Source organism: Homo sapiens, chromosome 18, assembly GCF_000001405.40.
Source record: "Homo sapiens chromosome 18, GRCh38.p14 Primary Assembly".
Classification (NCBI taxonomy): domain Eukaryota; kingdom Metazoa; phylum Chordata; class Mammalia; order Primates; family Hominidae; genus Homo; species Homo sapiens.
The window spans coordinates 37253974-37278061 of record NC_000018.10 but is presented as its reverse complement, the minus strand read 5'-3'; the positions used below and the strand labels follow the sequence as shown (position 1 = coordinate 37278061).

The window sequence follows — 24088 nt, the reverse complement described above, 5'->3', positions numbered from 1 at the left end:
GATAGAAAGGCACATGTGGATGAATTTTAATGCAATCAGAAAGCTGTCATAGCAATAATAAAGGAATGCATTCAGACGTCAGGAGAGGCGAAGGCGAGGAGCTGCAGTCTCCGCATGTAAATCAAGCTTGGGCAGAGGAGGTGCGTTCCCTTCCTTTCCTTTTTCTGTCCAAGTGAGGAAGTGGAATTTTTAGCAAGAGGGCCAGGGATTAGCAGGGGCGGGGTTCCATTTCTAAGTCTTTCTGGAAACCCAATTCGATTGAGCCTTTAAAAGGCACTAAAGGTTGAGGGGGAGGTAGGGAGAACACTGGGGGCTGTGCCTGGAAAGAAGAGTTTTAATTACTCCACAAAAGAAGGAAAAGCTCCCATTTCACTTCCAGTAAATTGCTGTTGCTGCTTCCAGGAGTCAAACATAATGGCTCCCTAGTCTTTCCTCTGTCTCTGCCATCTTTCCCCCCAGCCCTCTTCTCCCAGCTCTTTGCCTCTGATTCTCTTGTCTGTGTTTCCTGCCATTTTCTCTCCCCCACTCCCTTTCTGCGCTGAACTCTATCTCCTCCCATCCCACTTCAGCTTTTCTCTTCCACCCTCCCTCTCTCTCTTCCTTCTCCTTGTGCCCCAGAGCCTGGAGTAAGTGGGGGAGGGCTGCACGCAGAACCCTGGAGATGGGGTGGGGGTGTGCCCCAAAGTCTTGCCAAGCCAAAGGAGCCAGAAGAGCAGCTTGAGGCAGGTAGTGGGGCCTGGGCTCTGGGGTCCAGAGCTTTAGCTGAGGCCCACCCTGTTGGAGGGCCAGCTGGTGTTTTTTGACGAACAGCTGGTAACAGGGACCAGTAACTGTGCCCTACAGGTTATGCGAGGAGCTGGGACCTGGTACCACATCATCATTGAGAACTGGCCCAGTGCTGAGTGCGTCTGGACTGAGGAGTACCAGCAGGGCAGAGGGCAGGAGGACTCTGCAGGTGGCTTGTGGAGGGCAGGGGCCTGAAAGCCTCCTCTGCTTTGCTTCAGAACCTGGGACAGACCCTCAGCTCTAAGTGAACTCTCCTGACAATTTGGGCAAGGTGGGGGTTCTCTGGGAAAGAAGGTACCAACCACCTTGAATACAGAAGGACACAGGGTCCCTGAGTGCCCATGTGCTCAGAGGAAACCATGAACACATGGCCATTTGCAGTTTTGGGGTCTGCATTTCTGCAGCTTTGGCTGTGTGTCAATCATGTAATCATCCACAAACATCTAGCGAGTGCCTGCTGAGTGCAGCCACCCCTGGGACTCTGTTCCAGTTCCTATGGCTGCATACCAATTTAGCCCGAAACTGAGTGGTGTAAAACAACCATTTATTTTGCTCATGGATTCCATGGGTCAGGAATTCACAGGGCACAGCATGGAAGGCCTGTCTCTGCTCCAGGATGTCTGGGCCTCAGCTGGAAAATTCAAAGGCTGGGAGCTGGAATTATCCGAGGACTCATTCATTCACGTGTCTGGTGGTCGATGTTGGCTGTCAGCTGGGGCCTCAGTTCCTTTCCATGGGGACTCTTCTGCATGGGCTAATTGGGGGTTCACAGCATGGTGGCTGGCTTCCACAGAGCTAACAACCCCCCACCCCACAAAACAGAGGCAAGTGGAAGCTGATCTCTTTTATGACCCAACCTCAGAAGTCACCTGGCATCACTTCTGCCATTCTTTATTTGTTAGAGCAGTCAAGGGGAAGGAATACGCCCCCGGACTCTCAGTGAGAGGAGTGGCAGTCACACTGAAGTAGCAGTATGTGGGCTGGGGCTGCCTTCTGCAGTCATTCACCAGCTGCTGCAGGTGGATACAGCCCCATGCGTGCATGCTTTGTCTCCCTGAGCACACAGCATGGGATCAACAAAGCACCTGATACTCATCCCAGGTGTGTGGGGGCTGCTGAGGCATCTTCAGGAACAGACGCCCCCAAAGTGTCCAGGGTCGAATTTTGCAGCGTGAAGAAATAGGAAGAGCCAGACCGAGGAGGGCGCATCCAGATGGAAGAAAAAATATGTGACATACCAAGGAGGTGTGCCCTGGGATGGCACAGGACAGGCAGTCATTCATTCTTTATTCACCTCATCACTAAATGGAGGGCCTCCTGTGCTCCAGGCACTGCTGCTTCAGCAGAGAGGCCTGGTCTCTTTCCCCAGTGAGCATCCCAGGGAATGGGTGGGAAAGGAGAGCTATACGGAAACCCACAAAGTAGTCATTGTCCTTTGACATTCCGGCCACAGGGATGGGGGCCTGAGACAGAGTAAGGGAGGGATAAGAAGGGGCATGGGTGAGGAGGCAATACTCAAACTGAGACCTAGAAGAAGAGGACTGGACCTTGTGATAAGTGCGCTCCAGGCAGGGGAACAGCATCTGCAAAGGCCCGAAGTCAGACCCGCCAGTTGTGATTCATTTTGGAGCCTGTAGAGGATAGCATGTGAGACGAAGGAGGAGGGGAACGCAGGCTGCCCGTGTGCTCTAGTGAGGGGTCAGCCCAGGGTCTCTGCTCCTCAGGGTGCAGCCTGCCCTGCAGGCGGGAGGAGGCCGAGTCGCTGCGATCCAGCTCCTGCCTGCCACAGCTCTCTCCGCACCTGTCCCGCGACTGTGCGCTCCTACCCCACCTACTTCTCTCCCTCGCCCCTCCCGCTCCGACTAAGCCCCGCCCCCGTCCCCCTCCCCCGCACCTCTCCCCCGCCGGCTCCGAGCCCCCGCCCCGCCTCCCCGGCTCCTCCCTTTCCCTGCCGCTCTCCCCCTCCGGCCTTGCCCTGCTCCCGCGCAGCCCGGTCCCTGGCCCGGGTAAGCATCTCCTAATTTTGTTCTAGAAGATAGAAAACTCTTCGTGGGCATGCTCAACAAGCAACAGTCCGAGGACGACGTGCGCCGCCTTTTCGAGGCCTTTGGGAACATCGAGGAGTGCACCATCCTGCGCGGGCCCGACGGCAACAGCAAGGGTGCGCGGGGCGGGGCCGGGAGGGATGCCCCGGAGGGAGGGGCGAGGCGGAGGGAGACCAGAGGGCTCCTCTGAGTCTCCGGGGCCATCGCCGTCTGTCTCTGGGCTTCTTGGTGTCTCTTTCTCAATCTCTGCCTCACCCGTCTGCGTTCACCTGGGATGCGCCCTCTCCTCCCGGCCCCTCCCTGGCCCTGCTTCTGGGTCCCAGCTCGGCCTCTCGCGTCCTCGCAGGGTGCGCCTTTGTGAAGTACTCCTCCCACGCCGAGGCGCAGGCCGCCATCAACGCGCTACACGGCAGCCAGACCATGCCGGTGAGTGCTGGCCCCTTGGGGCGGGGGCGAGGGCAGCGGCGGGCCGAGACCCCAGCACCCGCCACGCCCCGCCGGCTGTCCAGTCTCCCCAAGAGACAGGAAAGCATGACCCTTATTCCGGGCCTCAGACAAGGACGCGGAAGCCCAGGGATGTTAAGGAACTGGCCTGAGGTTACCCAGGTGGAAAATGCCCGCGGTGGGGTTCACACCTCATTCCCCTGGGCGAGCGCCGATGCCGCCTCCTCCAAAGCGCCCCGAGGAGCGGGCGGGGTGGGCGCAGGCCAGAGGCACCGACAGCTGCGGGCGGAGGCTCTGGAGCAGGTGGGTCTCACGCGCCGCCCCGGCCGCAGGGAGCCTCGTCCAGTCTGGTGGTCAAGTTCGCCGACACCGACAAGGAGCGCACGATGCGGCGAATGCAGCAGATGGCTGGCCAGATGGGCATGTTCAACCCCATGGCCATCCCTTTCGGGGCCTACGGCGCCTACGCTCAGGCAGTAAGTGGCAGCGCGCACGGGCAGCGGTTCTCAAGCTCACTCCCCTGGGAGCCTCAGAGAGCGGGACATGAAACCGAAAATACTACTCTATCCCTTGCCCTCTCCCTCCAGAGTGAGGAGGGGCCGGGAATGAACCCATGAACCTGGGGGGTTTAACTTCAGAAGGGTTTGAAAGAAGGCTGGCCCAGTTGGGGTGGCTGCCAGGAGGAGGTGGGCTGCTGTCTTAGTTCTAAGGGGCAGAGCTGAGAGAGGCCCCACAGAAAAGTGGGTTACCCTGAGCCTTTTCCTCTCAGCCAGATCAACGTTGAACCCCAGGAAGCACAGATGAGAGGGTGAGGTTCAGGTCATTGGTTGCAAACCACCCCTACTCCATGGAACGGTGACTTCAGGCCTTCTGGTCTCTCCTGGCAGGGCTCCTGTGAGGTGCCCTAAAGCCCTACACACCCACACTTCTGATATCCCCTCAGGCCTCTGGCCCACCTACTTCTTTCTTCCACATGGGGGCCCACTCTGTCAGCCTCTCCCGGAGCTGCCTGCAGACTGGTAACCACAGCTCCCATGTGGGTGGCACTGAGGCAGGCCACGGTTCTGGGTCTGAAAATGCAAGCTTACCTCACTTCTGCAGTACTGTCCGCCTTGGCCACATTCCGCAGCCTCCCCTGTCCGCACTCACCTTTGTGACAACACTAGGGGTGCCTGGGGTTCTATTCATAATTCTCCTGTCACTTCTACCAACAGACTCCAAATTAAAACCATTCTGGACAGAAACCTGTGCTAAGTGAGTTCTGCAGAGGCTCATCCAGCATGTCTCTAGTGCTTTGGATGTCACTTCCCCACGAATGACAGGCTGTACACAGGGCTGACTAGCACCCACAGAGCCAGTCTCCTCCTCTGCCCCTAGCAACAACTTTGGAGTTCCAAAGACCCTAGCATTACTTTTAAATACAGTCATCTCTCAGGGTGGTGGACTCTAATAGCTGTTGAGGTACAGGGCAAGAATGGGAGAGGCATCAGGGCTTTCTGGAGTGGTAGTTGGGAGCTTCTGGGGCTCAGAGCCTGGGAGATTGGTCTCCAGGAGCTGAGGCCCCTGTCGGGGAGGGATGCCCCCTGGAAGCACGTGATATTTTTTCCACTCCCTCTGCCCCAGCTGATGCAGCAGCAAGCGGCCCTGATGGCATCAGTCGCGCAGGGCGGCTACCTGAACCCCATGGCTGCCTTCGCTGCCGCCCAGATGCAGCAGATGGCGGCCCTCAACATGAATGGCCTGGCGGCCGCACCTATGACCCCAACCTCAGGTGAGCTGGCAGGTGCCAACACGCGGTCTGGCCCGGTGGGAGAACAGCTGGCCCCAGGCTGGGACCTAATTTCAGCTACCAGCGGACCATTCTGTGGCAAAAGCACATAGTGTCTGGGCCCGAGAGGACTTGCCTTCTGGCAGTTTGTCTCAAAAATGTTCTAATCCATGGGGATCCAAGGGAAGATGAGATATGGGACCCATGCAGTCTACCGTGTGATTTCAGGGTGGGGTGGATTTCTCTCAAGCTGTTTAACCTTATCAGGAAACAATGTATCTTGATGTTTACCAACAAGAGACCTGGAAAGAAATTGACATGAAGACATCTCCCTGTGGTGTCTATGATGAGAAGAGCCTTGGCCATTCTGTGGCCTTGTTCAGCCCCTGGCCCAAGCACAGAAGGAACCCATTTGGGTGTCGTCTTTTTTTTTTTTTTTTTTTTTTCATTTCCCTTTAACCCAATCTAGACTCACTGGCTTTTTCTAAGACAACTATGCAACAAGCTAGAGAGAACCACAAGAGTTATCAAGGGACAGGAGTTTGGAAAGAACCCAGCTCACAAATCATGTTTTTGATTGAATCTTGGCTATTGTCCAGTCCAGTGAGTCTCAGCTGTTGCAGTTATGCCCCCGAATCCCCAGGACATCTGGCAATGTCTGGAGACATTTTTGATTGTCACAACTGGGAGTGGGGATTGCTACTGAAATCTAGTGGGTAGAGGCCAGGGATATTGCTGTATGATCCTACAGTGCACAGGACAGCCACCACAAGGAACTATCTGGCCCCAGATGGTAATAGTGTCAAAGTTGAGAAACGCTAGTCTAGTCCTAAGGGCTGGTCCTGCACCCCAGGCTCTTATTCACTGAGCTTCCTTGGCTCTCTGTGCCCAGGCCACAGCAGCAACTTTCCTAACATCCAAGAGCTGTTCCTTTCCCAGGTGAAAGCCAAAAAGACTGTGCCATCTCTGGGCTCAACTTGAACACTACTCTTCACCTCTGATCCCCAACTTCAAGGGATACACATGAGCCCAGGCAGTGGCCAACCTCAGGTCCACATTCTCAGAGGGACCCTGCTTCCTACATGAGAGGAAGGCCCTTTCCAGCCTCTGGGCTTTCAGTACAATCACCATAATATCCACATCTCAGGTTCCACCCACTTGGCATAGGGAGGACACAGGGTATTGTCATTTGACCCCAACTTTATTCTCACCATCATGACCACTACTATTGCTTCAAGTGGAGGAGGCCAAGGTGTCTACTTTGTGTATGAGCTAAAGCTGAGTCTGGGCTCTGTAATAACCTCTCTGCCTCAGTACGAGAGAAGGCCAGAATTAAGACCTACTCCATCTGAGCAGAAAAACTTCCTCCTGGAGAGGCATATCAGCCCCCCAATGACCAAGTAAAGACCAGCTCATCCAGCCTTAGCTGAAGAGAGTAAGAGCACTGAAAAAGACTTAAGGAAGGCCAGGTACGGTGGCTCATGCCTGTAATCCCAGCATTTTGGGAGGCCGAGGCGGGTGGATCACTTGAGGTCAGGAGTTCAAGACCAGCTTGGCCAACATGGCGAAACCCCAACCCTACTAAAAAATACAAAAATTAGCTGGGCCTGGTGGTGCATGCTGGTAGTCCCAGCTACTTGGGAGGCTGAGGAAGGAGAATTGTTTGAACCCAGGAGGTGGAGGTTGCAGTGAGCTGAGATTGCACCACTGTACTCCAGCAACCTGGGCAACAGAGCAAGACAAAAAAAAAAAAAAAAAAAAAAAGGACTGAAGGAAGACCAAGTGTGGTTACAGTCAAGGGCACTGAGAGTAGTCTATGTGCTGTCTAAGGACAAGCCATCAGGGTCAGAGAAATCTTATTTGGGCAGGTGGAATTTGGAGTCTGCCTTGAAGGATAGATACAATTGGGATAGGTGAAGTCACTTCATATAGGGAGATAAGCCAAGGCATGGGTCATAGATAAGATTGAACTGGTATGTGAGGTCCAAGTCTATCCGCAGGTCCTTGGAAACAGTTGAGTGAAGCTTTATGGGTGGGCCTTCCTCACCTTTGTTCTGCTTGCCTCCCCTCCTCCTCCACCCTTCTGTATGCCTGGAACCAGGTGGCAGCACCCCTCCGGGCATCACTGCACCAGCCGTGCCTAGCATCCCATCCCCCATTGGGGTGAATGGCTTCACCGGCCTCCCCCCACAGGCCAATGGGCAACCTGCTGCGGAAGCTGTGTTCGCCAATGGCATCCACCCCTACCCAGGTAAGCACATCTGTCAGCACTTATTTCCGTATGCAGCACATTCTTTATCCATGCTGTCCCTGCCCTTGCTGTTATAACAAGATGTGGCTCCTGCCCTCTGTCCATTCCTTGATGAAACCCCAAGTGTGATCAGAGAGGGCCAGCCTCCCATCTTCCTTCAGGGAGCCCGTGATGGAAAAAATGAGACCAAAATCCTGCCCTTGGGGATATGTCATTCTGATCTGGGAGACAGATCCCCATTCCAGGTGCTCCCTTAGGGAAGAAAGGAGACTGGGTGCAGTTGTACAACCATGTAGAGAGGCCAGTAAGTGCAAAATAATTGAGTGTGAATTTAACCTACAAGAAGTAAGGGGATAGAAACTAGAAGAACAATCAGGGTTAGTGTTAAGTAGGAAAAGACTCTTTGGGAAGGAGTGGAGGGAGGTATAACGATTGGCAGTCTGTCTAGTACAGACCAGTCCATCCCTTGGTGCACACAAAAGCGCGATCATGGTGCACGCAAAGCGTGATCAGCACCATGGACAGGTCAGCACCACAGACAGCCCAGCACCTTGGACAGCTCCTAGACTATTTTTTCAAATAGTCTGGCACACGGAAAGATCCAAGAGGCCTGCTCCTGATTACCTTTTTTCCTCAAACTTAGCCGTCCTCACAGGGTGAGAGTGTCCAGTTGGCCTGAAGCAGCTCTTCTCCCTGGTCTGGAGAATGGGCTGCTATCAGGGCAGGGAAGCTGGGCCCAAAGCCCTCTAGTAAACTACAAGGGAAATGTGCTCCCGATGTGGAGTGCCGCCCCGCTTCCTGGAGGCAGAGGATGAGGTTAGAGTCCCCGTAAGTATCAGTAAGTACTCAGTTTGTGCTGTGAAAGGGGGGCCCAAGAAGTAGAGCAGGACATGGACCTATCGCCTGGGAGGTCAGAGTCCATTGGGAACACAATCTAAGTCTGCAGAATGATGAGACAATATGGCAGAATTAAGTTTGATCATGAGTGAGTGTTCTCAGACTTGAAATGCTAAAGATCCCAATGAATGGACAGTTCTGTAGGCTAAAGAAGCCCCAAAAAGCCTTCCCAAGGAGGAAACTACCATCGAGCATTAACAGATGGGCAGGAATTGGAGAGGTGAAGATGAACAGGGAACACCCTCCTTTGGAGGGACCTGCCTGGCAAGAGTGGAGGTGGTAAGGAGATTGGCACACACGGCAGGCAGGCCAGCCCAAGGTGAATTGGCAGCAGGGGCTGGGTCCTGTTCCCCACTCTGGGTGCCCATCAGAATCCACTGTGGGGCTTTATACAACCACATAAGCCCAGACATTCTCATTTCCCTGTCTAGAGTGCAGACCAGGCATTTGTAGTATATAAAAGTCCCACTAGCAGCAGAGTGCAAGGTCACTGTACTAGAGGGAAATAGAGGAGAATTTCCTGACTTTGAACTTGGAGTTTTCCTTAATCCCATTCCCCATTCCAGAGCTTGCCCCATAATATATCCCTCAATCCACCAAGAAGAGGCCAGAGGAGTCTAGAGAGTGAAGTGATGAGGCTCTAATGATCTGGAGTGTTGTTTAAGGATGATGACCCCAAGCTGGTAGGGTGGCAGGGTGGGGCTGTGCAAGCTGGGGGTGGAAGAGATCCCACCAGTCTAAGGCTCATGGGCTGGGAGATGGCATCCCCAGCACATCTGGGTGGCTTCATTTCCCACCCCTTCCTGCCCACAAGCCCATCTGGATCTCTGGATCCTGATAAACCTGCTCCTTCCCAACCCCCTCTGGCATCTGTGAGCTATTTCCCTCATGGAATTTGGAAATGTTTCTTCCCCTATTTGTAACAATCTGCCACATCTCATAAACAATTCCTTGCCAGAGCAAGAGGGAGGGAGGGATGGAGGGAAGGAAAGGAAAAAAGTAGTACATTAAAAAAATTAATTTACCATCTTTAAATGCGGAGTTTGGACCCGCTGTAATGAGCGAGATCCTTCAAAATGTTCACTCTTTGGCAGTTACTAATGAGGTCGTTAGGCAGAGAAGTAGAGAAGGGTCTCATAAATGCTTTTTTCTGTTTCCCTGCCCCAGGTAGCTTTTCTGATCTCCCCTCTTGGGTTCTTGCTGGATACACACAGTGTGGCCTTTACTGTCACATAAACACCCTTGAAGGGGTGGCTCTTGCAAACATTAAAGATTGTTCATTCATTCTTTTCATCATACTCTGCCAGATGCTTATGATGTTCCTGGCACTGTGCTGGCAGCTGCCATGCAAATCGTGCAGGTTATATTTTGCATGAGGGCACCAAACTGTATGCCCAAAGGAAGGGGCACCCTTTTCTAATTTGCATAAAGCCACTGCATGGATGAATAGCTGGAAAGACCAAGAGCACAATCCGGACGTGGTTCTCCTTCTATAGAGCTTAGAGGCTGGCAGAGGATAGGGGCAGAGGGAAGGCAGAGAGGAGACCACCCTCCCAAGCACATCACACTGAGGAGCCCTCAGCGCCAGTCTCTACCATGGGGGAAATAGAGGGACAGGGTGTGGGACTGGGACAGCCCCAGGCAGGAAGGAGCCTGCATTGTGGCTCATCTTCAGCTCCCCCCATCTGAGCAGAGCCCCCGTGGGTCTGACTCCCCTGCCGCATCCTGCTCCTGGGGGCTATAGAACCTACTGTCCCACTGTCTCTAGGGACCTCTGCCCCAGGCTTTTCCCTGGGCACCCCTCAGGCCCAGGTGCTCTTTTTCTTTTCTTTTGAGACAGAGTTTCACAATTGTTGCCCAGGCTGGAGTGCAATGGCATGATCTCAGTTCACTGCAACCTCCGCCTCCCGGGTTCAAGTGATTCTCCTGCCTCAGCCTCCTGAGTAGCTGGGATTACAGGTGCCCACCACCATGCCCACTAATTTTTTTGTATTTTTAGTAGAGACGGGTTTTCACCATGTTGGCCAGGCTGGTCTCAAGCTCCTGACCTCAGATGATCCACCCACCTCGGCCTCCCAAAGTGTTGGGATTGCAGGCATGAGCCACCGTGCCCAGCCCAGGTGCCCTTTTTCTAGTGGAGGTTTAGTGAGATACTCAGGGAAACGTGCTCAGGAGGGAAGTTGAGGCACTCTCCCTAGACTAAAGGTCCCAAAGCCTGGCATGGCCACTTAGCTTAGCTGGCCTGAGTTGACAGGCGGATAAGCCCAGATAGTTTCTTCCTGCCACATCGTGTTATCCAGTTTTCCCTCAAGCATCCTAGGGCTCCATCCTCCCTCTGGGCAGTCCCTGCCTCTACCACCTCTCTGGGCTTCCAAAGCCAGCCCACTCCCACATTAGTCACCACCAGCCTTGGTCGCCAAAACCAGTGCCTACTGCTGGCCCATGCTTCAGGCTTTTGCCCACAGCTTCAGCAGAGACAGCAAAGACAACAGAAGGGAACCAAGCCTTTCTCTCAGCCCAACTTCCCTGAGTTTCTTGCCAAAGTATCTGTACAGGGGACCTCTCTTCCCACTGGGCAGGAGACATCCCAGGGTCACAGTGTCAGAAGACAGGAGGAAGGTCCTTGGTCTCCTGGTTCCTCGGTTCTGCGGGCAGCACCCCTCTCCCAGTTTGCTGGGAAGACCCTATTTGCGTAGCTGGTCCCTGCTGAAAGGAACTTAGCCATGGGCTGGGGGTGGAAGACCTCCATGCCTGGTGCAGCTTCCCTGACAGTGAGGGCGCATCCCTCTGTGTGAGCAGGCACAGTGGCCCAGGAGGACAAAGTGGTAGTGTGAGGCCTTCTTGCCCTTTCTTTCACCCACTGGGGGCTGCCAGCCCCCTCCCCTTTCCCCACAGCCCTTCTGCAGGGCTGGGCCCCTTGTGTGTCCCCCCCCACCACCAGCATCTCAGTGTTGAGGCTTCCTTGGCATCTCCTCCCCAACCCTCCACAGTGCTCTGCATGAGCCCCCATCTTACCCCAGCCCTAGGCCAACTGCAGCTTGCATCCCCCAGCCAGGGTGGGCAACTGTCTACCCTGCCAAGAGCCCTGGGCTAGGGAAGGTGACCCCCAGAGGGTCCAGGCACTCAGGGTTTCTGTCTCGGATGCCCTGCCCCAGGGCACAGCCTGCAGTAGCCAGAAAAGGCAGTACAGCTACATCATTGTCCCCATGGGCATGAGGGGAAGGGCCAGTGTGGTGGGCACTGCTGACCTCTGTCCCCTTGGCTCCCTACAGCACAGAGCCCCACCGCCGCGGACCCCCTGCAGCAGGCCTACGCCGGAGTGCAGCAGTATGCAGGTCGTTAGTATCCACGCGTCCCCACGGCTCCTTCCCCAACTCCGTTTATCTCTCCACGCCTGTGACACCAGTGCCCCCTCAGGCCTGGGGCCAGCACTGCATGGGGTGGGGAGAGAGAGTGGAAAGAGGGAGGGCTGTGCTGGCAGAGACCCTCCAGGCTGCCTTCTTGTCAGCGGGCCACCGAGAGTGCCCCTGCAGTGGGGTTGGGCAGAACTTCAGGCAAGTGGGCAGGCCAGGTGGAAGTTTCACCCTTGCTGGGCAGTTACCTGTCTTTGAGGCCAGATTTCCCTTCCCCATGGAGCTTCCAGGGCCACTTTGCCCAGGAGCACCAGGTCTGACACCAGCACCACAGGCGAGGCTGGACCTGGATGCTGCCCACCATGGGCCACAGTCACTGGCCCAGGAAGCACAGATGCCTGGTTTGAGAGAAGGAGGGCCTCTAGAAGAGATGCCGTTTCCCCATTCCCTTCCTCACACACTGGCAGCAGGATGGGGCCCCAGCAGGTGTGACAGGGAGCAGAGGAGGAGAGGTGGGAAGGGACAGCCCTGAGTGAGCAGAGGGCCTGGGGTCACTGAGCCTAAGCCGAGCTGTCAGCCAGGCTTCTCTCTTTCTGTCACCCCTGGACTACACAGCACCCCATCATCATCCCTGCCTAGCCTGTGTCCTACTGCCTGACCTGATCAGGGTCTCTCTTCCCTGTGCTTAGAAGAGCCAGTGCTGTCTCCCATGAGTGCAGTGGGGCTACCTGGCAAGGGGTGAGGGGACTGAGGTGAAGCTGGCCTGGCACATCTGGAGCCCAGAGGAGGTGCTGTCACCTCTTGGGTCCCCTGAGCTCTGACTTCAGGCTCTGTTGCTATGGGAGCCAGGCCAGGCAGAGGAGGGAGCCGGCCACTCCTGTCCTACCTCAGGCCCTTTCCAGTTGGACAATCAGGTTTATCCAACTCAGTCCTCTGCCCCTGGGGACTACCCCCTGGCAGCCTTCCCAGAGGCCAAGTCCACACCTCAGGTGGCCCCCACCTCCCACACAGGTGCCGTTTGAGTGGGAGTGAGGGCCTGCCAGCTGGAGTCAGCTGTGGCTCAGAGAAGTGGGAAATCCTTCCTGTGGATTCCAGGTGGTGTGGGGTGATCTTGTCCAGGCCATTTTGGTGTTTTTAATTATCCATGATTCTGTGTTATGCACACATGTGGTTCATCCACTATTTGAAATTCAACTTGCCTCCCCCAAAACATACACACACACACGTGCATGTGTGCATGTAATGTATGCACACATGCACTAACACCATGTACACAAGTGCACGTGCGCGCACACACGTACACACACGTACACACCCACACACGTGCATGTACACATGTAATGTACACGCACGCACACACATACACCCACACACATGCATGTATGCATGTAATGTACACACACACCCACACACTTGCATGTATGCATGTACTGTACACACACGTACACCCACACTTGCATGTACACATGTAATGTACACACACACGTACACACACATCCCCACACGTACATGCATGTATGCATGTAATGTACACACACGCACACACACACGTACACACACCCACACACCCATTTCCACTCTTCACCTTGCAACTCCTCTGTTAGTCTGGGAACTGAAAGCTGGCTTTGTCCTAAGTGGCTGAGTGGCAGGGCGCTTTTTGGCTGATCTGCTTTTACTGCCTGCACTGAAATCTCTCTCTTTCTTCCTGCTTCCACTCTCTGCCTTGTCGCCGGCTCTTGCTTCTTGTCTTGGGCCTCCAGCAGCTGCCTACCCTGCTGCCTATGGTCAGATAAGCCAGGCCTTTCCTCAGCCGCCTCCAATGATCCCCCAGCAGCAGAGAGAAGGTGAGTCTGCAGGCCAGCTCCTGGGCCCCTCCCTCCCCCTGTTGTCCCCAAAGAGGCTGCTCACCTGGGCCTTGGGCTGGGGTGTGCGTTGGAAAGGTGACCACGTTTGTGTGCTGTGTTGAGGTGGGCAAGGGAAGACAGCAGTGCTGTGAGGAGTGGCGCTCTCCAACTTAAGGGTAGAGGTCCGCTTCTTGTGGACAGCTCTGTACACCAGAGTGGTGTCTGGCCCAGGGGCAGGGGCCTGGACAGAATGCCCTGAGGGCTGGCAGGTCCCACACGAGGCACCTTTCCTACTCCCCTCAATCATTGCTGCTGGCCTGACACAGAGCTCACATATCAAAACCTTGGTCTATGAGAACCCCTTCTGAATGGTTGGGTTTGTGTTTCTTCCTTGGCAAGCCCTTGAACCATCCCTTAAGCAGAACCTAGCAGAGGTTAGGCCTGTGTGTACCAGTGCAGGCCTTGTCCTTGACCCAGGGAGTTTCTGGTCTTCCAGAGGAGACAGAGGCCCATCCTTGGGGTCTTCACTGGAGGGCCTACCACTGTGTTCCCAGGGAGAATAGCTGGGAGATGAGACTCCAACAACATGGTGGTTTGCAGAACCAGCTCTGATAGCTGTGTGCATTGAGGAAAAGATGGTAACCAGGCTGAGAGGGTCAGGAAGGGAAGCCCCAGAGGAGGTGGGGTCCAAGAATCCCCCTCCTCTGGTGGGCAGGATTTGGCCAGTGGGGAGGGTGGGGAGAAGTAGGAGTGCTCATGGCTGAGGGGAATGAGAGAGGGAGATGAGTTTATCACCCACAGGAGCTGTGCCCTCTGGGTGACCAGGAGAGGCAGGTGGAGCTCCCAGGGCAGGACTGCGTGGGCAGGGTGAGAAGAGATGAGAATGCCCCAGTACAGGCCTAGTGGAAGAAGGGGGTGATCCTGGAAAGCTGTGTCCCAAGGCCCTGGTGTGAACAGGGCAGGACAGCAAGATCTTTGGGTCAGATGCCAGGGATCTCGGAATGCCAGTCAGTGTCTTCCCATCCCAGTGCCTAGGTACCCACATAAGCAGGAAGACAGGAGGCTGGATGAACAGGCGCACCGTCTGGGACTCTGTGGGCCTGCCACAGAGAGCTCAGCTTGAGGGGGCAGGACACTAACAAGGTCCCATCCTCTCTACCCCTATGGAAATGGTCACTGGGTAGTGAGGCACCAAATCTGCCCCTGCAGCCCATGTGGTCAGAGCCTTCCGATGGCCTCCAAAATCCTGACTCATAGCCCCTGCAGCATAGTGTCCTGGAGCCCTCCGATGTAGGTTAGTCCTGGAAAGAGCCTCAAGAGTCTGCTGGTCCAACATCATTTGACAGGCCCCAGTGCCAGACAAGTCCCTCAGACCCCAAAGAGGTGCCACAGCCTGCCTGGCTGAGAGCCTGGCCTTCAGAGAAAACCCTTTTGGGTGGGACTCTGGCACCTCCTTCCCTGTGAATCTGAACAAATCACTCTATCCCCTCAGCCTCAGTGTCCTCACAGCAAAGTGAGGAGAGTGGGGAGCGTTCTCTGGAGGGGTGTGAGGACCAAGCCGGCTGAGTCTGCCCCCAAACTCCATTCTCAGTGCACACTGCCCTTCCTTTACCAAGCTACCACCCCTTCCAAGGCTGTGCATGAGGCATACCACCCCAGCTCACACCCAGCAGGCAACTTCTGAGATCAGGGGCATCAGGGCTTCCCATGCCCAGGAAAGCCAAGTTACAGGAACCCAGAGGGGTGCACAGGAAGGCCCAGCCCATACCCTGCCTCACGCTGCTGCAGCTGAGGGACACTGGGCTACCACTGGTGAAGTGGGGGTGGGGGTGGTCCCCTCATCAGGCTGCAGCCCTGGGCCTGCCTTGCCCTTGCCTTCCCCACAGTCCAAGCCTTCATCAGTAAGACCAGGGCCACAAGGGGTGGGGTCCAGGAGTCCCCATGTTGCCCGCTCCAGGTCCAGAACAGAGAGCTGTGCCTACAGGCCCTGATATCTTTTCTCCCACTGGTGCCATTGTCAGCTCCCTGAATCACTCTGGCCTATTGGCTCAGGGGTCTCTAAATCCTGCCCCACCCTTCACACAGCCGTAGGTCAATGGCACCCTGCCCAACACACATGACAGCCCCTACTGCAGGCCTTAAACTGAGGCCCCCATGGGCCCTCCTGCCCCTCTCCCACCCTACACTCCACCATCCCATATGTGTAGCTCTGAACTCCTCCTCATTCCTTCTCTCCATCTCTGAGCAGCTGCAATTCCTGCCCCCCCCTCCCCCACCCCACACACACACCTTGCTCCCTAGTCTAGGCCCTCTGTGGCCAGTCCTGGCTCCAGCCTCTCCTTGGGGTGGCAGGATCTGCTGCTATTGTCCCCATTCTCCCAGGCCATGGTCCATGGGTTGAGCCACCCCAGGGATGCAGGGGATGGGGAAGAGTAATGCACGATACCAACAGAGCCGCACAGCATGGGCGGGTGAGAGCGCGGCACTGGGAGTGGTTTGTCAGGAAGGCTTCTGTGGGTCTGGAAGGATGAGCAGAGGTTGGCAGCACATAGAGCTGGGGAGGCAGGAGGTCCAGGCAGGGGGAACAGCGGGATTAAAAGTGCAGCTGCTGCAGAGTCCAAGGTGAGCATGGGGCCAGGGAGAGACAGGCGCAAGGTGGGCTGGAGCCTGGCCAAAGCCGTGTCCCACAGAGTTGTCCGAGTCATGAACAAGAAAGAAGGCTGTGTTCCTCCAACCCTGCCAAGAGTTGGCTTCTTTATGTCATGGTCCCCTCCCCATGTGGAATGTCATGGAAATACCAGGATATTCTGGTGGCAGGGGAGGACCCTTCTGCCACCTCCTCATCTTTGAGCTGAGCCTGAAAACAGACAGATGCCTGAATTCCCCAGAGGCCATCTGCCCCACAGATGGGATGAGGTTGCCCTCAGGGATGGCTGCCGCAGCGGCTCTGCCAGGGCTGCAAGGTGGTCAGGGGTAGCCGCTTTCTGTCTCTGCAGCTCCGCTTCACCATTTCTCAGAAGGCTGGGCTGGACCACATTGGTCTCTAAAGTCCTGCCAGCTCTGCCATCTGCATGTTCTGTAATCTGTGAATGAGGGAGTGCAGAAGGGCTTGGCGGTAGCTGGAGTTAGACAGCGTGTGGGCTCACTGTCCAGGGGAAGGGACTAGAGCTGCTGCCCTGGCTTCTTCGTCAGGCCTGGGCTAGAGAGTCATCCCTGGGGCTCCGCCACACACCGCGCATGTGGGATTGAGCCTGCGGGCCCTGTCTGTGAAGGCTCCTTATCTCTAAGGAGAACAGATGTAGCTTCCACATAAAGCAGCTTGCAGAACTTGAACTCAGAGCCAGGGCCCCAAGTCAAGGCAGGTGTCAGCATGGGCTGGAGCAGTCAGGGCCTGGAAGAGTGAGGATGGGAGGAGGAAGGGAGGTGTGGGGGGGGCTGGAGGGGGCTGGGCAGGAGGACACAAGAAGGAGCATGCCCCTGGGAGCAGCCAGTCTGGTTGGAGAGAAAAACCTCTAGACATAAAAGAGAAAGAGCCCCACCCCAGAGGATGAAGTGTGGATTCGGGCATGAGCAGGGAGAGGCTGGAGGTTCTTTCAGAGAGGGAGGGTATGGGGAGCTGGGGGCCACCAAGGGCACATTCACAGGGCATGAACCAGTGGGAAGACAGCATGGTTGGAGGGGACAGGGTGAGGGGAGGGCCACCAGAGCTCGGGGGTATCCAGCACCAGGAACCCCTGGAAGGGGGTGAGGGAGCATGTTTGTGCCCGGTTCTGAATGCGCCGTCCCCCAGCAGGATGCCTGGGAGCCAGCAGTCCAGGGAGGGGAGGCCGAAGGGCTGGGGTGGGCAGAGGGCACAGGGCGAGCACCAAGGAGGGAGGAAGCCAGTGGCTCCTTGGGCAGCTTTAGGGGTTGGGGAAATTTTTGTTCTAGGCTGTGGACCTTGAGGGAATAGAGATAGATGGAGAAAAGGAGGAGAGTGGAAGGTAGAGGAGCAGAAGAGAAGGTGCAGAGTCTCTAAATCGAACCTTTACTCCAGAACTGGGTTGTCTGGCAGCCTCATGGCTCCCAGAGAACAAGGACGGTTGGCTCTGGCGTGAAAGCCATGCAGCGGCCCATGTTGGTGCCTTACAGCCTTCACTGTTGAGCTCATGCCTAGGTTTCCAGCAGCCTCTGGTCAGAACCTTGCTTCTTACACAACACTAGGTGCAGTTGGTTCCTTCCCATTCCCACCACAGCTTGGACACCATCATTGAAATGACCACAAGTCACTTTAAAAGATGAAATTATATGTGGCATATGCTATCTAAGACGCATCTTGGAACGATTTCCATTTTAAAGAGTTAAAATTGAGCATTTTGACTATTTCAAAAGAAACAGGTAAATGGTTAGTTATTGGGAATTTTAGAAAGCTAAAGCCCTGCATAGTGTTCAGGGGATCTGGGATATTGAGATTTTTGGTAGCAAGAGGGAAAGAATTCACTCTATGGAGACAGGCTAGGCTCATGTCCTGGCTCCAGGCCCCTCCCAGCTGTGCGTGTTTTGGCAGGTGACTTAACCTCTCTGGGCCTCACTTCCTCATCTGTGAAGTGGCAATGATGATAATAATGTCACAGGGTTGCTGTAAGGATTAAGTGAGTTAGAGACATGTAAAGTGCTCAGAACAGCCTGACACATAGTTTGTGCTGCTGAAGTCGCAGGGCTGTTACTGTGGTAACGAAATGAAGAACCTTCATGTCATGAGGCTGGAGGGTTCCCTGGCTAATCATAGAGCCTCAGTTGCAGCGCTTCCTACGCACCTACACAGGAGGAGGCAGGATAAATCTTGGTTTCCTGGGTGTGTGGAACTGGGCAGGACAGTTGGGCCATCAGGGGCAGATGAGAAAGAGAGGCTGCAGGCCAGGGGGAGGATGGGCACCCCAATCCCAGAGTCTGAGACTGGCCTGCGAGAAGGGAAAGTGGGGGGTCTCCCCAGCACAGGACTTGGCTGCCCCAGGGGATGCCCTGGTCCCCCCAGAGCAGGGGCAGGGCAGGAGGGAGGCCTCCCGGATCTCCTGGGCCTTCCCTATCTTCAGCACCTGGTTTCCAGAGACACAGCAGTAGGTCGACTCCGCCTCTGGAGCCCTAGGGTTTCTAAGCCTCTGCTACAGATCCATTTTATAGAAAAGGCAACTGAGGCACAGAGAGGTTCAGTGACTTGCCCAAGGGCAGAGCAGAGACCGGAGCTCAGACCCGGGGCTCAGCATCCCTGCCTCTTCTGGGGCGCCCTTGGATCTGGAATGAGACTCCCCCTCCTAACCTTGCCCCCACCCCTCCCTGCTGCGCTGCCTAACTCGCTCACCTCTCCTCTGTCTCTCTCTTCCCCCACCCTGCCATCCCTCCTCCCCCGCCCACCCCCTCCCCTCACCGCAGGGCCCGAGGGCTGTAACCTGTTCATCTACCATCTGCCCCAGGAGTTTGGGGACGCTGAGCTGATGCAGATGTTCCTCCCTTTCGGTAATGTCATCTCCTCGAAAGTGTTTGTGGATCGGGCGACTAACCAAAGTAAATGCTTTGGTGGGTAAAGATAACAAACCAATTAGCTTCACCTAGGACAGGGCGGTGCTCGCACCAACCTACCGGTGTCCGACTGCTTTTAACCTGCTCCTTCACATTGCCCCCGCCCCAGCTGCTCCATGGCCCTCACCAGCCTCATCTCACCCTTCTCTCTCCCACTACTCCTTTTGCTTCTTGGCTTTCCCTACCCACACAACCTGGCTCCCCATCTCCCACTCCCGGTCCAAGAAATGGGTTTCCTCTTCCAGACAAATTCCAACCTACTGAGAAGGGAAAGGGGCCACCTTGACAGGGGTAGGAGGGGCAGCAGGCAGAGCCCAGCCACACCCATTCCCCCAGTAGCCCCTCTCCTCTCATGGTGAGAGTGGCCTGGCCTGAGCCCGAGGCTAAATCAGAGCGTGACACCTGGGCAGGGCAGTCACCTAGCCAGGCCCCTCTCCTGCCCACCCCTTCGCCTCCTCTCTCCAGCTCTCTGTCCTGCCCCAACTCCTTCTCTGTCTACCCTGCTTTTTGCTCCCCTCCTGCCCTCCCCACTCACCTGCCTCAGGCCACCAGAGCTGGGCATTGTTGAGGAGTCAGGAAGAGGAGACTGGTCCCTGCCCTCAGGAAGCCTAAGCGCTGAGCTTAGATGAAAATTATGTTTATAGCAGTGAAATCTGCGAGGCACCTAATAATGAAACGACAAGGAAGGCAGATGGATATAAATACACAAAAAGGAAGGGAGGGAACTCCACGTGGGGAGAATTGGATGAGGAAGGCATGGGGCTGGGGTGAGACGAGCCAGAGGACAGTGAGAGGGAGACCAGGCGCGGGGGTGTGGTGTCTGTGCTGGGGGGTTTCCACTATGCAGAGGGGGGTGTTTCACGGGGTGTGGTAGGCAGTGGAAATGGTGGGAGGTCCTTGAGCTGAGAGTAATAAAAATACAGTTTGCAGGAAATGTGCTCAGGGCATGGTGTTAGATGGGAGAGGGAAAACTCGAAAGCATCCAGAAGTATGGCTGTCAGATAAAATATAGATGGCCAGTTAAATTTGAATTTCAGATAGACAAAGGATACATTTTTAGTATAAGTATGTACTTACAGTAAAAAGTATTTATTGTTGATGTGAAGCTTAAATGTAACTGGCATCCCGTGTTTTTATTTGCTAAGTCTGGCAACCCTATCCAGCAAGCGTCAGACCTCCTCCTGGAATTTCATATCACCCTTTCTCCTCCACTCCTCCTTGTTGCCCTCCGACCTCCTCATCCTTCTCCTTCATCCGTTCCTTCTGGGCCAGACCCTTTCGTAAGTCATGAGGACTGAAGAGTCCAGTCCCCAGAGAGCCACATATGGAACCAGAGCTGAGTCTGCCAGACACTCAGTATCTCCAGGCTGACCCCCAGATTCTGGGGCTGGGAGGAGAGAGTAGGAGGTTGAGTTGCAAGGAACCCAGGTCACAGCTTGGGGGTGGTGGAGGGGAGAGGAGACAGGAGTGCAGCATCAGGAAGCGCATGTTAAGGAGTTTCCAGTCTGGAGTCCAACCTTCTGGAATCATGAAGGGCTTGAGGATTCGGAGCATGTTCCCCAAAGTAGTCAAGATCTTTGCACCATTGTCCCTTCCCCTCTGGAGCTGCCACAGGAAACTTGTGGTCTTTCAATGGCATGGAGTTGCCCCAGCAGCTCATTTCTCTCTGGGTGTGGAAAAACAAAGCAGAAGCAAAAGACAGGGTTGCAGTCCTCCACTCTTTGGTATTTCTCCTTATGAATTACAGTTATGTATGTAAAAACAACAAGCTGGAAATCAGTTGCATCTGCTCTTTAAGGAAGTCCCAAATGTTACATAAATGAGAAGAGCGCTGCTGAGAGCCCAGGAAGCTCTGGGCGCCTCTGCTGGAACAGGTTTAGTCTCCAGCCATAGCTGGGCTTGGCATATTTGCACCATCCCGGGTGTGGGTGCAGTCCGGCTTTCCAAAGGCATTTCCTTGCAGTCTGCTCTAAGCACTACCCTCTTTAAGCTGTTAGCCCACTTAAATTAGCCAGGACTACAGTTTTTTTTTCTCTCTAATTAGTATACCTCTAATCTAGCTCTCCTCTCTTGAACAAATTTCTGATGTCGAGCATACCAGCCCTGAAAAAAGGACAGACTCCTGAGATGCTGGTCCAGCCCAGCTGTTCCTGGTTAAGCCACTTGGGTTCTCTCTCTCACCAGGCAGCTGAGCTTTCTGCCAATATCCCAGAGGCCTTTAAAGTGAAACCTAGGCTGGGTGCAGTGGCTCATGCCTATAATCCCAGCACTTTGGGAGGCTGAGGCGGGCAGATCACTTGAGGTCAGGAGTTCGAGACCAGCCTGGCCAACATGGTGAACCTCCATCTCTACTAAAAATACAAAAATTAGCTGGATGTGGTGGTGTGCGCCTGTAATCCCACCTACTCAGGAGGTAGAGGCAGGAGAACTGCTTGAACCCAGGAAGGGAGGTTGCTGTTAGCCGAGATCACACCACTGCACTCTAGCCTGGTGACATAGCAATACTCCGTCTCAAAAATAAATAACAAAATAAATAAATAAAAATAAAATAAAGTGATACCTAACTTCAGCATTCCCTCATGGACAAGTCATTTAACCCTGTGAGCCTCAATCTCTTCCTTTGTGAAAAGGGGATTTTAATCATCGCCCCAGGGATGCTGTGAGGGAGCTTACCCAGGGCAGACCCTCAGGAAGTGCTAGGTCCCCTTTGTTCTTAAAGTGCTATTTTTGCTATAAAAGTGGCCCTATGTTAAAGTGAACTCCTCAAAGGCCACATTCACTCTTTATAAGCACATGTGTAAATTTATGAGCAGAATCTTCCAGATACCTTCATGAGGGCATGTCTAGCACAAATGTTCCTATGTTGGAAGGAGGGCTGGGGGAATACCATAGGGGGATTCTATCTGCGGGCCTTCCCACAGGGCCTGGGAGCAGAAACCTTCTGAGGATAGGAGGAGGGAAGGAGAGGTAGCTCTGGAAGAAGGAAGACGGTCCTGGAACCATGAACTTGGGAGACAGTGCCCAGAGCCCTGCCACAGGGGCCTCCAGTCTGCAGGGGAGGGACCCTGCTCAGACTGCTAGCCAGTTACTAACAGTTCAAGGGAAGAAAAATTCCCTTGACCCTGGACTGCTTCTCAACTCTCGGGCTTCCGAGGACCTCTAAACTCTTCCAGGAAGGCTGGGCTTCTGCCCTCCTCCAGAACTTCCTCTCTGCCCTCCCCACACAGTGGTTCTGCCTGCCGCTACGCCTGTGCCCTAGACAGCTCCTCCAGCCCTTTTTATCTTCTTTCCCCTCCCTTCTTTGAGCTCAGGTGGATGATGAGAAGAATGAGGGGCAGCATGTCCCCCATAGTCAGGCTACCTTGTCCTGGCAGGGACAGGCTTTTGTCCAGCCACCTTCCTTATTCTGGGGAAAGCAGTATCAACACACAATTCACATATTTGAAAACTGCTCTGGTTTACTAAGTACTTGACTTTTACTTGACGTAACTTGACTTTAGTGATTAGACATACAGGTCAGCGGAGGTGGGGACGGGCCAGGAGGGGCTGAGGGGAGCTGGTGGAAATATGGCTGGAGGCGAATCTCGTATGGATCAGCTGAAATTCTCCCTATTTATTCTGGTATCTATATTTATACAGAGGTTAGTTTTGTTGCTCTGGGCCCAGCTCTGACCAATTGTTGCGCTTGTTCGGCTGTAGGAGCAAACTTGAGCAAGGCAGGAAGGAGAGGAGAGAAAGAAAGAGACGATGGAGGCAGCATCTGGGGCAGAGGGAAAGAGGGAAAAAGAACCAGCAGGTAGGGAAAGTGAGGAAGGGCTCTCTTTCTTGGAGAGAAGTCCCAAGGCAGGCCCGAGGTACCACAGACAATAAACTGAGAAGACGGCTTCTACTTCACTCCCGGGTGGCTGTGCATCTCTGTCTTATACCTAATGGCCATTTGGGGACCATTACGCAACGGGCACGTTCATGGGAACGCCTCAGTATCTCGCCAAGCTTTCATATATTTTGCAGGATCTAAGTCCTTTTTACAGGAGAAAAGGCCTCTAAAGTCGAATGAATTCAAGGAAATACTAGATTAAACAAAGCTATAAAGGTTCATTTACTACAACTCGGTGAGGGAGGGGACGTTATTTGTTGATATGCTGCACTGGCCCAGTGGGCCTGGCTCTAAACCTCCTGACCACACAAGCCCTTTCTCGAGGAGCACCTATTAGGGCCAGTTTGGGAAATGCTGATGTAAAATGTTGTCTGTATGAAGAGATGCATTCAGAGTTCCCCAAAGGTGACTTCTGACCTCATTTTGGGAACATGACCTGTGCCCATCTGGGACCTGCGCGGTTGGGCCTGGGAGCCGCAAGGTTCTGCATGCCATCTGGGCACAGGAGTGAACGCGTGGGAAGCGCTTCTGCACGGAGGGCTGTGGCCTGATTTGCACTGATGGTCTTGTGACTTGTTATGGACATATCAGCTGGTGCGTGCTTAGTCCACGGCGCAGGGCGTGGAGAAGAGAGGTGCCGACGGCGCCCGGGGCGAGGTGACGCCCAGGGCCCACCCGGAGCCTGGCGGGGCGGGCAGAGGCCGGGAGTGGGGGCGGAGGGCCCGCGAGGGCTCAGCCTCTGGGCCTCCTCCGACAGCCGGGCACCTGCGGTGGCGAGGGGGGCGGCCGGGCCGGCGGTGGAGAAGTTTCTCGGCGGCGCCTCCCTCCCGGCCCCTCGCACTCGTCTCTCTCCCCAGGCCGGCACCCTGTGCCCGCGCGCTGCCAGGCCCCCTCCTGTCAGGGAGGACAGTGTCCAATAAACTCCTCCACCCGCAGGTGTGTCCGCCCTCTCCCGCCGAGGCGAGGGCTGAGGTGCCGGGGCCGGCGGGGGTGGGGGGCGGGCGCCTCTCCCAGCGCCGCCCGGCCGCGGGCCCCACTTGGGGAGCGGGCGCCGGGCGAGTGACGCGGCCAGAGACTAGGCGCAGGTCAGCGAGCCGGGTCCCCGCCAGCGCCTGCCCCCGGAGGGGCCTAGCACGCGCGCGCGGGCTGGAGAGGGGCGGGCACCGGGGCGGGGCCGGGGGCGGGGCCCGAGGGGGAGAGCCTCAGGCCCGCCCCGCCCCCCTGTCCCCCGACCCCTCCCCGCCGGCAGCGCCCCGGGCGGCCCCGT

At 55.4% G+C, this 24088-nt stretch overlaps 1 protein-coding gene and 1 long non-coding RNA gene across 126 annotated transcripts in view, besides 1 other annotated feature; one reads left to right on the top strand and one right to left on the bottom strand.

The window, feature by feature from the left end:
- Nucleotides 1–24088, top strand: part of CELF4 (CUGBP Elav-like family member 4) — a 322955-nt gene that overhangs the window by 287737 nt on the left and 11130 nt on the right. For 8 of the 125 annotated variants that reach the window (NR_148525.2, NR_148528.2, XM_047437647.1 and 5 more), the window contains exons 4-11: nt 2822–2947; nt 3178–3257; nt 3608–3751; nt 4899–5046; nt 7145–7294; nt 11464–11529; nt 13305–13388; nt 18798–18881. Coding sequence is in view for 114 of the 125 variants with exons in the window: in XM_047437647.1 (XP_047293603.1) it covers nt 2822–2947; nt 3178–3257; nt 3608–3751; nt 4899–5046; nt 7145–7294; nt 11464–11529; nt 13305–13388; nt 18798–18881 (882 nt within the window). In the remaining 11 variants the exon portion in view is untranslated. Of the gene's footprint in view, nt 1–2818; nt 2948–3177; nt 3258–3607; nt 3752–4898; nt 5047–7144; nt 7295–11463; nt 11530–13304; nt 13389–18797; nt 18942–23678; nt 23758–24088 lie in introns of all 125 variants that reach the window. The other 117 variants (NR_148523.2, NR_148527.2, XM_047437653.1 and 114 more) reach the window with 42 other exon arrangements.
- LOC105372068 (uncharacterized) lies at nt 1662–3602 on the bottom strand. The gene is made up of 3 exons (NR_134588.1): nt 3467–3602; nt 2334–2417; nt 1662–1910 (listed from the first exon to the last, which is right to left on the bottom strand). It is a non-coding gene; the product is annotated as an uncharacterized LOC105372068 (long non-coding RNA).
- Nucleotides 23854–24003: a silencer, noted in NCBI's record as "silent region_9407". NCBI's record gives its function as "represses an Ori minimal core promoter by ATAC-STARR-seq in GM12878 lymphoblastoid cells {active_cell/tissue: GM12878}" and the evidence as "EXISTENCE:reporter gene assay evidence [ECO:0000049][PMID:35858748]".